Source organism: Homo sapiens, chromosome 2 (assembly GCF_000001405.40).
Source record: "Homo sapiens chromosome 2, GRCh38.p14 Primary Assembly".
In the NCBI taxonomy this organism is placed as follows: Eukaryota; Metazoa; Chordata; class Mammalia; order Primates; family Hominidae; genus Homo; species Homo sapiens.
Window position 1 is genome coordinate 73,874,544 of NC_000002.12, and position 18,368 is coordinate 73,892,911.

At 42.0% G+C, this 18,368-nt stretch overlaps 1 pseudogene, besides 1 other annotated feature; it reads left to right on the forward strand.

Moving 5' to 3' along the window:
* LOC100420774 (zDHHC palmitoyltransferase 6 pseudogene) lies at positions 2,639-3,276 on the forward strand (annotated as a pseudogene).
* Positions 17,541-18,354: an enhancer, noted in NCBI's record as "H3K27ac-H3K4me1 hESC enhancer chr2:74119211-74120024 (GRCh37/hg19 assembly coordinates)". NCBI's record gives its function as "activates a minimal SCP1, AML or CMV promoter by ChIP-STARR-seq in naive H9 embryonic stem cells {active_cell/tissue: H9 hESC(naive)}" and the evidence as "EXISTENCE:reporter gene assay evidence [ECO:0000049][PMID:30033119]".

Sequence of the window (18,368 nt, forward strand, 5' to 3'; positions counted from 1 at the left end):
AAATGAACACAATAAATAAATAAAGCAATCAATAAAACTGAGGATTGGAGCTCACGATTCAGAAGCATTGACAACTCCAGAGGCAGAAAGTTCTATGTGTGTGCTTTAGATTAGGGTCAAGTTTTAAAATTGCCTGGGCAGTGAAGGACCATAACTGAGTTCTAGTCAGAGACTTGCCTCATATTTATAAAACTTGGGGCAGTTGACCCCATTTTGTAAGAGCTGGAGGAAGTGAACTTCCTAGGTGTTACTCAGCATTGGGCCCCACACAAACCCACTTTCCAGAATAACTCAGAAAACTTACAGAGTCCACCCTTGTTGCCAGAGATCTATCAGCCAGATTCAATTCTTACCACAATGTATTGAAGTAAAGTATTTTTAAGACAGTGAAAGGCCGGGCCCAGTGGCTCACGTCTATAATCCCAACACTTTGGGAGGCTGAGGCGGGTGGATCACGAGGTCAGGAGATCGAGACCAGCCTGGCCAACATGGTGAAACCCCGTCTCTACTAAAAATACAAAAATTAACCGGGCATGGTGGTGCGTGCCTGTAATCCCAGCTGCTCAGGAGGCTGAGGCAGGAGAATCGCTTGAACCCGGGAGGTGGAGGTTGCAGTGAGCCAAGATCACACCACTGCACTCCAGTCTGGCGACAGAGGGAGACTCCATCTCAAAAAAAAATAAATAAAGACCGTGAAAAATGTAGGATAAACTGTAACTTTGATGAAGTCCTGAGTGGCCTCTTCCTATCTTGGTTCTTCACAGCTTCTTCATTTGACTTGTTAAAGGTCATTTTTGGTTACCCAAAAATCCTTCTTAAACCAAATGTATGGAAAGGAGGACCCAGATTTGCAGTAACATTTTGAAACTAAAACTGATTCTTAGTTATTTGCGTTATGTTGTTATGTGAGAACTTCACCTTCAGAACACTGCAAGTGATGATTTTAATAGTTCTCAGCTAACACCAAGTTGCAAGTAGAGCTTTCTCCCTCAGTACTAGGGGAGGCATAATGCCAAGCTTACGAGGGCAGGTGCAGGGGCGAGACTGACCGGGGATATTCCTGGCTTCCTCACTTACTGGTTGCATGACTTCAAAAAGTAAACTGACCTCCCTGGTCTCACAGTCTTCAACGTTTCAAAATGTAAATAATACCAGGATTAGGCCAGGCATGGTGGCTCATGCCTGTAATCCCAGCACTTTGGGAGGCCGAGGCGGGCAGATCACTTGAGGTCAGGAGTTCCAGACCAGCCTGACCAATATGGTGAAAGCCTGTCTCTACTGAAAACATACATAAATTAGCTGGGCATGGCTGCTGGCACCTGTAATCCCAGCTACCCGGGAGGATGAGACAGGAAAATCACTTGAGCCTGGGAGGCAGAGGTTGCAGTGAGTCGAGATTGCACCACCGCACTCCATCCTGGGTGACAGAGTGAGACTGTCTCAAAAAAAAAAAAAAAAAAACAAGATTAAATAAGATAATGCATACACATGGCTCAGTACAATTTGCAGCATACACACACGACTCCATACATGGCAACTATGGATAATATAACAATAATAGTAATAAGGCCTAAGTCCAGTAGTTGCCACCGTGCCCAGCCCCTACTTTCATTTAAAAGACACCCTTGGCCAGGCATGGTGGCTCACAGCTGTAATCCTAGCACTTTAGGAGGTTGTGGCAGGAGGATCACTTGAGTCCAGGACTTTGAGACCAGCCTGGGCAATGTGGTGAGACCCAGTCTCTACAAAAAATACAAAAAGCAGCCAGGCATGGTGGTTTGCACCTATAGTGCCAACTACTCAGGAGGCTGAGGTGGGAGGAGCGCTTGAGCCAAGGAGGTCGAGGCTGCAGTGAGCCATGATTGGGCCACTGTCCTCCAACCTGGGTGACAGAGCAAGACTCTTGTCTCCAAAATAAAAAAATAAAAGCTACCCTTCTGGGTAGGCAGGCCTGAGTTGTTGGGTAGAGCTTGACTTTTAAAAGAACCATCCTGTGGGGAGGCTTCTAGCCCCCTTTTTCCCCATCACCACCATCCCCAGCTTCTCCTGTCTCCCAAGATGAGGATAGGGAGGCTGGGAAACACACACCCAAGTGCTTGCCAGGAAGTATGGGAGTGGGAGTGAGAGACTGCCTGATAATAAGAGAAGTGGGGTTACTGGAGCCCAGATCTTGGGGTACCTCCCAAGCCACTCAAGGCTCAGAACACATGGAAAGCAGAGAGCGGTGTTCAGACAAACTGAACATTCAGAGATACTGAATATTTGATTCCAGACCACCACAGTAAAGCAAGTTGCACACATTTTTTTGTTTCCTAGTGCATATAAAAATTATGTTTACACTACACTGTACTCTATTAACTGTGCAATAGCACTGTATCTAAAAAGATGTACATACCTTAATTTTAAAATACTTTATTGCTGAGTCTCAGCAAGCACGCTGGCAGGAGACACATGGGTCCTGCATTCCAGCCTCTGGAGACCAAGATTTGCTTTCTGCTTACTCTGAACTGAGGTGCTCATGATGGAGTCAGCCAAAGAGGAGAAAATCTGTTCTGGTGTGCCCTGGCTCTCTCTACTCCCCAAGTATGCCATGGCTGAGGAGTGGGCACCAGGGAGCAGACTGAGGTTGGGTTTCAAACCAAGAAACTTGATTCTCCTGGTTAAGATAAACAGCTTTGAGTGCTTGACGGTGAAAATGGCACAATCCATGTTAACGTGTCACAACTTGAAGGCATGACAAAGAACACACTGGGACTTGTGGCACATGGAAATGTGTGCACAGAAAAGACAACTCTGTAATTCTTTAAAAGTAGGAAGACATTCTTCCTTGCCAAAATGCATACATTCGGCTCAGTTATCAAGTTTGAAAATCTCCAAGAATTAAAGAAAGGGTCCCATCACAGCCCTTGATGTTACAGCAGTATGTTCTGCAGTGGCCATGATTGACTCTGTATTGTGATATCAGCCCTTACATACAACTGGAGGAAGTGTGAATTTCATCATACATTCACGACTATTATGGTTACCAAAATCATGCTTCGTTCACACTGTTCCTTCTTTTAGCACCTCTGGCTTGTATCCATGCTGCTTTCATTTTTATTTTCACTATGTACATACAGCTTTGTAATCGGTTCTTCTTTGGAGGAAACACAGTAAACACTGATACAAGTGCAGCCTGGAGAGATCCTCTTTCAGTTGTTCCGCCTGGATTCACCGCATTTGCTGCCTTCTTGTTTACGTTGGGATTCATTTTAGGAACAACCATAACTATTGGGAAGTTTTTTCGTTTGTTTGTTTTTACTTTACAAGTTCTGGGATACATGTGCAGATCGTGCAGCTTTGTTACATAGGTATATATGTGCCATAGTGTTTTGCTGCATCTATCAACTTGTTGTCTAGGTTTAAGCCCCACATGCATTAGGTATTTGTCCTAGTGCTCTCCCTCCCCTTGTCCCCCACCCCCCAATAGGCCTTGGTGTGTGATGTTCCCCTCCCTGTGTCCATGTGTTCTCATTGTTCAACTCACACTTACGAGTGAGAACATGCAGTGTTTAGTTTTCTGTTCCTGTGTTAGTTTGCTGAGGATGATGGTTTCCAGCTTCATCCATGTCCCTGCAAAGGATGTGAACTCATCCTTTTTTATGGCTGCATAATATTCCGTAGTGGATATGTGCCACATTTTCTTGATCCAGTCTATCACGGATAGGCATTTGAGTTGGTTCCGTGTCTTTGCTATTGTGAATATTGCTGCAAGAAACATACGTGTGCATGTGTCTTTATAGTAGAATGATTTATAATCCTTTGGGTATATAGCCAGTAATGGGATTGCTGGGTCAAATGGTATTTCTGGTTCTAGATCCTTGAGGAATCACCACACTGACTTCCAAAATGGTTGAACTAATTTACATTCCCACCAACAGTGTAAAAGCGTTCCTATTTCTCCACATCCTTGCCAGCATCTGTTGTTTCCTCCCTTTATAATGATCACCATTCTAACTGGCGTGAGATGGTATCTCATTGTGGTTTTGATTTGCATTTCTCTAATGACCAGGAAGTTGTTTTTTATCCAGATGAAAATCATCCTCAGAAACAAAACTTTTAGTCAGTCATGGATTGAAGAGAAAGCTAAAGATTGAATTCAGTATTATCAACTAGAGGTCTTTGTTTTTCTTTATGATATGGGAAGTAAATGGAGGAATTTAAACAGGTATTTGTGTGGTCAGGGGTCCCTGAAAGAGATGACCTGGAGTGGCCAATGAGAGAAAGCTATCACCAGTACAGCTTAACACTAGAACAGTTGAAATAAAAAGCAGATAAGAGGCCGGGCGCGGTGTCTCACGCCTGTAATCCCAGCAATTTGGGAGGCCAAGGTGGGTGGATCATTTGAGTCCGGAATTTGAAACCAGCCTGGCCAACATGGTGAAACCTCGTCTCTACTAAAAATACAAAATTTAGGTCGGCATGGTGGCAGGCACCTGTAATCCCAGCTACTCAAGAGGCTGAAGCAGGAGAATCACTTGAACCCAGGAGGTGGAGGTTGCAGTGAGCCGAGATTGTGCCACTGCACTTCAGCCTGGGTGACAGAGTGAGACTCCATTTCAACAACAACAACAATAACAACAAAAGGAAGGAAGGAAGAGAGACAGAAAAGAAAGAAAGAGAGAGAAGAAAGAAAGAGAAGAAAATTTGGGGGAATAGAAAACTGTTCACTCAACACTCCATTACACAGATAAGATTTCATCCTGTTGTTCAAATTCTCTATACTGTTCCTGATTTTTTTGGCTCCTTCTTCTGTCCATTACTGAGAAAGTTGTGCTAAAATCTCCTGATATGATTGCAAATTTATCTATTTCTCTTTTGTGTTTAGTCCATTTTTGAGCTCTATTTATTTACATATACACACATATACATATATACACACACACATTTGGCATGTATATATAAGTTATGTTATTAGATGCATACAAATATGGAATTGTTATATCCTCTGATGAACTGACCCTTTTATGTTATAAAATGTCTCTTTTTATCTTTAGGACTGCTTCTTGCCTTAAAATCTACTTTGAGATTGATACAACTTTCTTTTGATTAGTGCTTCTTACTTTCAATATTACTATATCCTTGCATTTAAGGAGTATCTCTTATAAGCAGCATATTGTCAGTTTATCATTAAATAACCAGCCCAACAATCTTTTTGCTTTGTTTTTAAATTTTATTTTAAGTTCAAGGGTACATGTGCAGGTTCATTATATATGTAAACTTGTATCACGAGAGTTTGTTGTACAGATTATTTCGTCACCCAGGTATTAAGCCTAGTACCCAGCAGTTATTTTTCCTGATCCTCCCTCCTCCCACCCTCCACCCTCCACCCTCCACCCTCCACTCTCCACCCTCCACTCTCCACCCTCAGGTATGCCCCAGTGCCTGTTTTTCCCCTCATTGTGTCCATCTATTTTAGCTTTAGCTCCCACTTATAAGTGAGGGCGTGTATTATTTGATTTTCTGTTCCTGTGTTAGTTTGCTAAGGATAATGGCCTCCAGCTCCATCCATGTTTCTGCAAAAGACATGATCTCATTCTTTTTTATGGCTGCGTAGTTTTTAATGGTGTATATGTATGTACCACATTTTCTCTATCCAGTCTATCATAGATGGGCATGTAGATTGATTCTATGCCTTTGCTATTGTGAATAGTGCTGCAATGAACATACGCATACATGTGTCTTTATGATAGAGCAATTTATATTCCTTTGGGTATATACCCAGTAATAGGATTGCTGGGTGGAATGGTATTTCTGTTTTTAGGTCTTTGAGGAACTACCACACTGTTTTCTATAATGGGTGAACTAATTTACATTCCCACCAACAGTGTATAAGCATTCCTTTATCTCTACAACCTCGCCAGCACCTGTTATTTTTTTACTTTTTAATAATAGCCATTCTGACTGGTGTGAGATGGTAACTCATTGTGATTTTGATTTGCATTTTTCTAATGATCAGTGTTGTTGAGTTTATTTTCATATGCTTGTTGGCTGCATGTATGTCTTCTTTTGAAAAGTGTCTGTTCACGTCCTTTGCCCACTTTTTAATGGGGTCGTTTGTTTTTTCTCGTAAATTTGTTTAAGTTCCTTATAAATGCTGGCTATTAGACCTTTGTCAGATGCGTACTTTGCAAAAATTTTCCCCCATTCTGTACATTGTTTGTTCACTGTTGATAGTTTCTTTTGCTGTGCAGAAGCTCTTTAGTTTGTAATCCCAGCACTTTGGGAGGCCGAGGCAGGTGGATCACTTGAGGTCAGGAGTTCGAGACCAGACTGACCAACATGATGAAACTCCATCTCTACTAAAAATACAAAAATTAGCTGGGTATGGTGGTGGGCGCCTGTAATATCAGCTACTCGGGAAGCTGAGGAGGGAGAATCACTTAAACGCCAGAGGCAGAGGTTGCAGTGAGCTGAGATCGCACCATTGCACTCCAGCCTGGGCAATAAGAGTGCAACTCTGTCTCAAAAAAAAAAAAAAAGAAAAGAAAAATGAAAAAGAATCTCTTTAGTTTAGTTAGATCCCATTTGTCAATTTTTGTTTTTGTTGCAATTGTCTTTGGCATCTTCATCATGAAATCTTTGCCTGTTTCTCTGTCCAGAAAGGTATTGCCTAGGTTGTCTTCCAGGGTTTTGTAGTTTTGGATTTTACATTTAAGTCTTTAATCATTCTTGAGTTGATTTTTGTATATGGTGTAAGGAAAGGGGCCAGTTTCAATCTTCTGTATATGGCTAGCACCAGATACGGAAGTTATGGCTAGGTCATAGTACCCAGGTATTTAGTAAAACATTATCCCAGCACCATTTATTGAATAGGGAGTCCTTTCTCCATTTCCCCATCACTTGTTTTGGTCGCTTTTGTTGAAATCAGATTATTGTAGGTGTGTGGACTTATTTCTGGGCTCTCTATTCTGTTCCATTGATCTATGTGTCTGTTTTTGTTTATATATATATTTGTTTGTGTATATATACATATATATATATATATAGAGAGAGAGAGAGAGAGGATTCTAAGGAATTTGTTCATATGGTTGTGGAGGCTTGGCAGATCTAAAATCTGCAGAGTAGGCTGGGAAAGAATTGGGGTCTGCAGTTTGAGTTTAAAGGCAATCTGCTGGCAGAATTCTTTTTGCTTCCAGAAAAGTCAGTCTTTTTCTATTATGGCTTTCAAATGATTGGATGAGGCCCACTCACATCATGAAGGGTAACCTGCTTTACTCAAAGTCTACTGATTTAAATATAGATCTCATCTGAAAAATAACTTCACAGAAACATCTAGATTAATGTTCCACTAAATACCTGGATAGTGTGGCCTAGCCAAATTGACACATAGAATTAACTATCACAGATCCCAACAGAAAGCCTGGAGTGTTTAACAGTGTTTTTCCTCCACAGTGGGCTCTGAACTCCAGTATTTTTCCCCCAACCCCATCAGTCTGCTAAAACTCTAATTAGCTTCTCAGTCTCTTAGTTACTGCTTCTTGCTTAACTTGATCTACGGCCTTGTACTGCTTAACATGGAAAGATGTCTCAAGAGGAAAGTGACATAGAATATCAGATTCATCCAAATGAGTTTTCTTTCTCTCTAGAAACCTCACCTCTAGAAACGTGAACTGAATGCTTCTCTGATGCCTTCAAACAGGTGATTTTAAAATATTTTATCTTAGAGGATCACTGAGAGGCTGAAAAAAATTATTAAATCCAACTCTTTTCATTAATAATTGTTAATAAACTTATAATGGATTAATACTTTCTTAATATGAAAAATAATGTGAGCTGGGTGTGGTGGTGACTCATGCCTGTAATCCTAGCACTTTGGGAGGCTGAGGCAGAAGGATTACTTGAGCCCAGGAGTTTGAGACCAGCCTGGGCAACATCGGGAGACCCCATCGCTCCAAAAAAATTTTTTTTTAATTAGTCGGGCATGGTGGTGTGCACATGTAGTCCCTGCTACTTGGGAGGCTGAGGTGGGAGGAACCCTGGGGCCTGGGAGGTAAAGGTTGCAGTGAGCCATGATTGTGCCACTGCACTTCAGCCTGGGTGACAGAGCCAGACCCTGTCTGAAAAATAAATAAATGAATAAATATAGTTTTTCTTGGAGAATAAATAAGTAATAATAACGAAGAAATGTTTGAAAGAGAGTGAAGATGCAATATTGCTGATATTAAAAGCTATATTTACAATGATGAGATAATGTTGCTGCAATAAACAGAAATAAAGGAAAAGGGCATAGAAAAAGGGAATATTTCAAATCATGGAGATAGTGTTGACTACTTAATACATAAATGGTATTGACTAGTTAATAAACGACATTGGGAAGTAGCCCTTGGGGAACGGAGGAGACAGAGGAATTTGATCATTATCTTACAGTTTAGACTAAATTTTAGCTGGGTTAAAGATTTCAATATAACAATAGAAATAATGAAAGTGACAGAATAAAAGGCAGTGAAATGTTTACACAAGTATGAGCTGGGGAATGCTTTCCTAAACAGGGCACAAAGATAGATGCCATGAAGGAAGAACAGATTTTATTTTATTTTTTGAGGCGGAGTTTCACTCTTGTTGTCCAAGCTGGAGTGCAATGGCGCGATCTCGGCTCACTGCAACCTCTGCCTTCCTGGTTCAAGCGATTCTCCTGCCTCAGCCTCCTGAGTAGCTGGGATTACAGGCGCCCGCCACTACACCCAGCTAGTTTTTGTATTTTTAGTAGAGACGAGGTTTCACCATGTTGATCAGGCTGGTCTCGAACTTCTGACCTTAGGCGATCCACCTGCCTTGGCCTCCCAAAGTGCTGGGATTACAGGCATGAGCCACCGCGCCTGGCCTCAGATTTTATTACATCAAGTTAAAACATTATCAGAGGATTAACTTGGGAGGATTATTGACTGGGAGAGCTTACCTGGAAACCTGATAGAGACAGTGGTTAAAATAGTGGTGGGGCTGGAGTGGGGAGGGGTGAAGAGGGGAAGGAATTGGGATGTAAGTCAAAGGATACAAAGTAGAAGGTAGGTATGTAGGATGAACAAGTCTAGAGATCTAATGTACACCCTGAGGACTATAGGTCATAAAACTGTATTGTATAGGGGATTCTTGTTAAATAAGTAGATTTTAGATGCTCTTGTCACAATGTAACTATGTGAAATGAGAGATACATCAATTTGCTTCACTATTGTAACCACTTTCCTGTCTCTATGTACCCCATAACATCATGTTTACACCTCAAATATGCACATTTCTAAAGAAGAAGACACTGAGCACTTAAAATTGGTGGTTTACTTTACTGTCTGTATGTTATCCCTCAAATAAAAAAAAATTAGTGAAACTTCTGTTTGGCAAAAGCTACCATGAATGTATTTTTCTTTCTTTCTTTTTTTTTTTATAGCAAGATTTATTATGAAGAGCAAAAGAACAAAGCTTCCACAGCGTGGAAGGGGACCCAAGCAGGTGGCCTACCATGAATGTAATTTTAAAAGAAATGACAAACTAGGAATATTTGCAACAGTCATGACATAGAAAAGATTAATTATCTTTTATTTAACAGCTATTGTAAATCAATAAAAAAGGATCAAGCAATTTAATAACAATGCAAAAACACAAATAGGCAATTCCGAAAAGATATATAAAGGAACAGTAAAAAATAAAAGATTTGCAGCTCACTAATAACCAAACTCAAAACCCAGTGCAACACTATTTTTTACCTATTAGACAGCAAAAATTAACAAGTTTTATGCTGTCTAGCTAGGTTGCACAAAATGAAAATAAGCACTCTTGTGCCTGAGTGGGAGAATAAATTGCAATCATTTTCTGGAGGTCTGGCTTAGCAAAAATGGTTTATAATTAAAATATGCATTCCATTTGACAAAGGAACTTCTCTTTTTAAATTGCTGTAAAGAGATAATCTCACAGGTACACAAATATAAGTAAAAGCACATTCACCACAGTATTGTTTGTAATAGTGACCAATCAGAAACCACTTACGTGGTCAGTCAGTAAAGCTCAATAAATACCTTGAAATATACACAGCCAATAAAATAGATGATGATGAAAATTATACTATGGACACAGAAAAAAGAAATTCCAAAACATTTTGTTATGTTGTAAAAGTGGGATTTGTTTATTGCATTATTTAATGAATATTTATTGAGTGCCTACATGTGTCAGACCCTCTTCTAGGTGCTGGGGATACAGCAGTGAGCAAAAAATAAAAGGAATTGCTGCCTTCCTTTTAGAAGAATGGAGCTGACTTTCTAGTGACAAATGAAAGATAATAAAAAGCAAAATAAATCGTGTAGTATATAAAATAGCATGTGCAGGATGCTACCAGTTTTCTTTTTCCTTTTATTTATTTATTTATTTTTTAGAGACAGAGTCTCACTCTGTGGCCCAGGCTGGAGTACAGTGGCACAATCATAGCTCACTGCAGCCTTGAACTCCTGGGCTCAAAGGCTCCTCCTACCTCAGCCTCCCAAGTAACTGGGACTACAGATCCACACCACTACACCCAACTAATTTTTAAATTTTTTTTAGAGACAGGGTCTCACTATTTTGCCCAGGCTGGTCTTGAACTCCTGGCCTCAAGCATTCCTTCCACCTCAGTCTCCCAAAGTACTGGGATTACAGGCATGAGCCACGACACCTGGCCCTGATACCATTTTTCTAAATGTGTTTATATCTTGAAAATGTCTGGAAAGATTTAAGTTCATAATGGTTATCAGGATGGTGGGAATTTTTTCTACTTTGTCTTATTCCTGAAGTTTTTTGAATGAGTGTTCTTTTTAAATCATATGAAAATAATTTTTACTTTGACAAAAATAAAATGACAAACGTTTATTTTTAAAAGTTTCTGAATAAATATTTGCTATTTTCTTCCCTTGAAGAAATTAAAAATCAATGACTGTCAAGTGGGAAAAAATGTTGTTATGTTGAAATGCTCAAATGCAAATCAAAACCATGAGGATGTGGGGCAACAGGAACTCTCATTCATTGCCAGTGGGAATGCCAAATGGTACAGCTACTTTGCAAGACAATTTGGAAGTTTCTTACAAAACTAACTATATTCTTACCAGAAGGTCTTGCAATTGCACTCCTTGGTATTTACCCAAATGAGCTGAGAACTTATGCTCACACAGAAACTTGCAAAAGGATTTTTTTTTGAGACAGAGTCTGTCTTTGTTGCCCAGGCTGGAGTGCAGTGGTGCGATCTGGGCTCATGGCAACCTCTGCCTCCCAGGTTCAAGTAATTCTTCTGCCTCAGCCTCCCAAGTAGCTAGGACTACAGGCATGTGCCACCGTGCCCAGCTAATTTTGTATTTTTAGTAGAGATGCGGTTTCGCCATGTTGGCCAGGGTGGTCTCGAACTCCTGATCTCAGGTGATCTGCCTGCCTCAGCCTCCCAAAGTGCTGGGATTACAGGTGTGAGCCACTGCGCCCAGCCCAAAAGGATGTTTAGAGCAGCTTTATGCATAACTGCCAAAACTTGGAGGCAACTAAGATGCCCTTCAGTAGGTGAGTGGATATGTAAACTGTAGTACATCCAAACAATGAAATATCACTCAGCACTAAAAAGAAATAAGATATCAAACCGTAAAAAAGACATGGAGAAAACTTAAATCTCTATTGCTAAGTAAAAGAAGTCAACCTTAAAAAGGCCACATACTGTACGATTTCAATTATATGGCATTCAAGAAAAGGCAAAACTATGGAGACAGCAAAAAGATCAATGGTTGCCAGGGGTTGTGGAGGGGAAAGGATGAATAGATGGTCAGTGAAATTAGTCCGTATGACACTACAGTATAAGGGTGGATACATGGCATTATACATTTGTCAAAACCCATTGAATGTACAGCACCAAGAGCAAACCCTAATGCAAACTATGAACTTTGGGTGATAATGATGTGTCAATGTAGGTTCATTGGTTATAACAAATGAACCACATTGGTATATGACTTTGATAGTGGAGAAACCTGAGAGTGTGTGGGTGTTGGGCGTAATGGAAACTCTCTATACTTTCTGTTCAATGTTTCTGTGAACCTAAAACTACTCTAAAAAAATAGTCTAGGCTGGGCACGGTGGCTCACCCCTGTAATCCCAGCGTTTTGGGAGGCCAAAGCAGGTGGATCATGAGGTCAAGAGATCAAGATCATCCTGGCCAACATGGTGAAACCCCATCTCTACTAAAAATACAAAGATTAGCTGGGTGTGGTGGTGCATGCCTGTAGTCCCAGCTACTGAGGAGGCTGAGGCAGGAGAATCACTTGAACCCGGGAGATGGAGGTTGCAGTGGGCTGAGATCACGCCATTGCACTCCAGCCTGGTGACAGAGAAAGACTCTATCTCAAAAAAAAAAAAAAAGTCTGTTTAATTAAAACACGACGCTCATATACAATTTTTAAAAAGTAGCCACCCATTAGGATGGCTACTTTAGAAAATAAAATACAACCCCGAAAATAACAAAGTGTTGGCAAGGATGTGGAGAAATTGGAATCATTGTGCACCACTGTTGGTGGAAATGGAAAATGATGTGGTCCCTATGGAAAACCATTTGGCACTTCATCAAAAAAGTAAAAAGAAAATTACCAGATGGTCCAGCAATTCTGTATCTGGGTGTATACCCAAAAGAAGTAAAAGCAGGGTCTCAAAGAGCTATTTGTACATCCATGTTCATAGTGGCATTATTCACAATAGCCAAGAAGTGAAAGGACTTCAAGTGTCACTCAATAAATGAATGGATAAACAGAATGTGTTATAGAGATACAATGAAGTATTATTCAGCTTTAAAAAGCAAGGAGGCCACACATTGGGTCATTCCTGTAATCCCTGAACTTTGGGAGACGCAGGCGGGAGGATCGCTTGAAGCCAGGAGTTCAAGACCAGCCTAGGCAACATATTGAGACCCGCCTCCCGCCTCCTCCACAAAAATTACAATTTTTTAAAAATTAGCTGGGTGTGGTGGAGCATGCCTATAGTCCTAGCTGTTTGGGAGGTTGAGGCAGGAGCATTGCTCAAGCCCAGGAATTTGAGGCTGCAGTGAGCTATGATCACGCCACTGCACACCAGCCTGGGTGACAAAGTAAGACCCTGTCTCCGAAAAATAAAATTACATAAATACAAAGCAAGGAAATTTTGACTCATACTACAGCATGGATGAACCTTGAGGGCAAACACTGTATGACTCCACTCTTACAAGGTATTCAGAGTTGTCAGATTCAGAGACAGCAAGTAGAAGAGCTGTTGCCAGGGGCTGGGGGAGGGCAAAGTGAGGAGTTGTTTAATGGATACTGTTTCAGTTTTGCAAGATAAAAACGTTCTGGAGACTGGTTGTATAACAATGTGAATATACTTAATAGTACAGAACCGCAGGGCACGGTGGCTCACACCTCTAATCCCAGCACTTTGGGAGGCTGAGGCAGATGGATCACCTGAGGTCAGGAGTTTGAGACCAGCCTGGCCAACATGGTGAAACCCCGTATCTACTGAAAATACAAAAGTTAGCTGGGCATGGTGGTGGGTGCCTGTAATCCCAGCTACTCAGGAGGCTGAAGCAGGAGAATCGCTTGAACCCGGGAGGCGGAGGTTGCAGTGAGCCGAGATTGCATCATTGCATTCCAGCCTGGGCAGCAGGAGTGACACACCGTCTCAAAAAAACAAAACAAAACAAAACAAAACAAAAACCATATAGAACCATACATTTTTAAATGGTTAATATTGTAAATTTTATATTATATGTGTTTTCCACAATTACAATTTTTAAAAGTTAAAATGTATAAAAAGAAGTGCTCAGCCTTCCTAAGGATGTTATAAAACAGACACTAAACAGGAAAGACATTTGATTAAACTTTAGTAAGGCAAATGCTACCAGACAAAATCGAAAGGCAAATGTTTAAACTGGGGGGAAAATATTTGCAACACTTGTAGTAGGCAAAAGGCTAATTATATCACTAATATAATATACCAAGATCTCTCATAACTCAAGAAGATAAAGGTGAACAATCCAATAGAAAAAAAAAGTAAACAGGAAGCAGCCATTTTCAGAGAAAGACAAGTTAAAAAAAAAAAAAAGTTAGGTCGGGCACAGTGGCTCATGCCTGTAATTCTAGCACTTTGGGGTGCTGAGGTGGGCAGATCACCTGAGGTCAGGAGTTCCAGACCAGCCTGGCCAATAGGGTGAAACTCCATCTCTACTAAAAAACACAAAAATTAGCTGGGCATGGTGATGCACACCTGTAATCCCAGCTACTCGGGAGGCTGAGGCATGAGAATCGCTTGAACCCAGGAGGCAGAGAGGTTGCAGTGAGCCAAGATCACACCACTGCACTCCAGCCTGGGTGACAGAGAGAGACTCTGTCTCAAAAAGAAAAAGAAGAAAAGAAAAGTTGATATAAGCAAAACATGTGTTCATTCTCATTAGTTACCACATAATTTTACACTTTCATGAGCCGGGTGCGGTGGCTCATGCCTATAATTCCAACACTGTGGGAGGCTGAGGCCGTTGGATCGTTTGAGGCCAGGAGTTCAAGACCAACCTGGGCAACATGGTGAAACTCTGTCTCTACAAAAAATAAAAATAAAAATAAAATTAGCAGGGCAGGGTGGCGCTTGCCCATATTCCCAGCTACTATGGAGGCTGAGGCAGGAGAATCACCTGAGCCCAGGATGTCAAGGCTCCAGTGATTGCACCACTGCACTCCAGCCTGGGCAACAGAGCGAGACCCTGTCTCAATAAAATAATAATAATTTTAAAACAAGAAGATGCTAAGTTTCTCCTTCCCGATTAGGAAACATTTAAAAGATGGGTAATTGCCAATGATCCACATGGTTCATCTGGACACAAGGAGAGAGAGCCAGATGAGCAGAGAGGCTCGTTTGGACAATTGCCCACTCAAGGAAATAACTCAAGATGTGAACACCTAGTTCGTATATTTTCCTCTTTTTTTTTTTAATCATTGCATATATTACTTTTGTAATTAGGGAAAAAACTAAACAGTTCTAAGGTGGCCAATCGTATGAAAATTGACATGTTTCTAATGTAATAAACAAATGTAATGTACTGAAAAAAAACCTTATTAATGCTAACTGAAATAACATGAAGAGGGAGGTGGTCTCATACTCTCCCAGGAGTATAACCTGGTACAAATTTTTGTAAGACAACTTGGCAGGTTCCATCAATATTTCACATGTGCTTACTTAATCAAACAATTCCACTTTAACAAATTTACCATATGAAAATACTCCCACATGTGCACAAAGGCACATATACAAAGTTTTATTAATGTTAGCAATGTTTGCATGAGTAAAAATGCTGGAAATGACCCAAGAGCCCATCAATAGGATATTGGTCAAATAATTTATGGTATATCCCTACTATGGAAAACGATGCTAGAGTTTAAAAAATTATATAAACTGATTTTGAAAGACATCCAAGAGTATTATTAAGAGAACATGACAAGTTTCAGAACAATTGTAAAAACATATGCAATGACATAATCCCATTTTTGTAAAATAATGTTAAAATGTTAGAAAAAAATCTGGAAAAAATATTTTTAAAATAGGTATCCTATTGCCCTTAACAGTGGCCTTCTCTGACTTAGGTCTAAGTGGGATTATAGCGAACATTTGCTTTCTAAAACACACATTTTTGTATTTTTTGAAATTTTTGATTGAATTTTTGAAACCAGAAAAAAATGTTAAATATAAACAAATCGAGTACCTGGTGTAACCTCCCTCACCTTCTGATCTCTCCCTAAACATTTCCTCAGAGCTTCAGTTTATTCAGTTAGTCCCTGCTTTCTCGTCTCTGGGCTGTTTGGAGCCTAGATCACAACCAGTGCCTTTGTTATAGGCTTTTCATTGTTTATCGACTGGCTGTGCCAACTAAGAGGGGAATGTCCATAGGGCAAGGTGCCCCCATCTGCACGCTGACCACGGTGCTGAGTGATTAGAAGAAAGCTCACTCTGTGAAACAACCCTTACTCTGAGAAGGGAAAGGATGACCCCTCTAAACCCATGATCAGGTCAAGGGTGATTGGCACCCTGTCCCTGCCCTGGCCTCATTCCCACACAAGAAGAGAGAATCAGAGGGGGAGCTTATGACCCTGTCACTTAGCGTTGAGCTACCTGCCTCGGCCAGTTGGGACTGCGAGCACTCTGTCCATGCTGGGACAGCTCACACCTCATCCACTGCCACCTTCTATGCAGCACAGCTCCGGAAAGGGAGCCCTCTTCCCTCCAGAATCCCCAGTGAGGGTTTTCTAGGAACTTGAAAAGCTCAGGAAGCTTTCCACAGGCCTGGAATTTAGACTTAGGCACTAAACACGCAGGCCAGTGATCAAATGATGAGTAAGTGAACCTCACAATGACAACAGTGTTCCTTCTCCACAGGGAACAACTGCAGGTCCTCAAGGAAAGTGTTTTTAAATCTTTCCTCTGGGCTGTCTCAGCAGAGGACACTCCTCATTCACACCATCTCCTGCCTCAATTTTCAGTTAATGAGGAAGCCAGACCTGTACCAAGCCATTGCACCAGGTGACCCAAAACCACCTGGAACTCCCTGTGCGTTTAGCAGGGATGCAATGCATGCTTCTTCTATTGAAGCGGGGGTATCCTGGGCACCGGGTGGGGAAAGTTTAAGAAACACAGATGGCTGAGGCCTATTCACTGAGTTTCTGTTTCAATAGGGCTAGGTGACACCTGAGAATCTGCATTGTGAGCACATTCCCATATCATGCTGCTGCTGCACTCTGGTGGTCCCCATGCTTTGGGAACCTCTGTGTTGAAGACGAAGCAGAGTCAGGAAGGCCAGTCAGGAAGCTGCGCCCCACTCCAGGCCAGATAGGACTGGAGCCTGAGGCAGCGCAGGCCAGCAGGGATTGAGGGAGGACACAGAGCTGAGGGGCATTTCTGGTCGGGGGAGCACCAGGCTGTGGTGCCCAGGTGGTTGTGGGAGCATGAGGGAGACACAGGGTTCTAGACTGACTGACTTCTAGCTTGAAGGGCCGAGGGGTGGACTTGGAAGTTGGCAACCCAGGAGGCACAGCAGCTTTGAGGGTAGGGAAGAAGGGTTCAGTTTTAGACAGGATGAGTTTGAAGAGCTGGAGAGTCATCTGGATTGGGATGTCCAATAGGCAATTGATCATTTTAGTCTGGATCAGGGTGAGGGAGGGGGACCATGAGAATGTGGAGTTGAAAGTAATACTGCAGAGCTGGTAGCTGATAATGTGGGAAATGAACCAGCTACCTAGGGATAGTACATGAATTACACAAAGAAGAGCAATCATCAGCCAGCCATGGTGGCTCACACCTGTAATCCCAGCACTTTGGGAGACCAAGGTGGAGGGATTGCTTGAATCCAGGAGTTCAAGATCGAGACCCTGTCTAATTAAAAACAAAACAAACAAACAAAAAGAAGTCCAGGCGTAGTGGCTCACACCTGTAGGCCAAGGCAGGTGGATCACGAGGTCAGGAGCTCGAGACCAGCCTGGCCAACATGGTGAAACCCTGTCTCTACTAAAAATACAAAAATTAGCTGGGCATGGTGGCAGGTGCCTGTAATCTCAGCTACTCAGGAGGCTAAGGCAGGAGAATTGTTTGAACCTGGGAGGCGGAGGTTGCAGTGAGCCGAGATTGCACCAATGCACTCCAGCCTGGGGGATAGGGCGAGACTCTATCTCAAAAAAGAAAAAGAAGCAGCTCAAGAATCACAGGACTGTGGAAAATCCTACAGGCCAAGAGTCTTGTTAGGTGTGCCTCAACCCTGAAGCAGGTCCCTCAGTCTGCAGATATTTAGAGATATTTAAAGGAAAACCAGGAAGGAGCCAAGAGAGAATGAAGCCTAAGGTGTCCTGAGACCCTCAGAGAACTCAGCCCAAGGGTTAGGAGCTTGTGTCAAGGTGCAGCAGGTGAGTAGGGCACGCAGGATTTCTTTCCTGGGTACGGAAGGCATTTCTCTTCAGCTTTCATTGGTCCCAGGCTCGTGCCAGACAAGGCATGATTGCACCCATTTTGGGGACAGTGCCTGGGCGTCCCAGGCAGACCCAGGGGCCGCATGCAGCAGGGCCTGAGGAGGGAGGTGTGGACGGAGGAGGCCCGCTGCCATTCTTGGTATGGTTCTCACTCCAGGAGCACAGCTGCATCTGGTCTCACTCTGGGCAGCTTATAAGGCCTGGTGTGAGTTTTGTTTATGCAAGTGCAGCATAAAAGGAACAAATCTACCAGCACCGGGGCTGTTGCCACTGAGTCCTTTTGCATACATTTTTCAAATGATAACTCACTCTACCCACCCCCCTTCCCTACCCCCAAGGCGATTTATTGAAAAAACCACCTTATATGGTAAT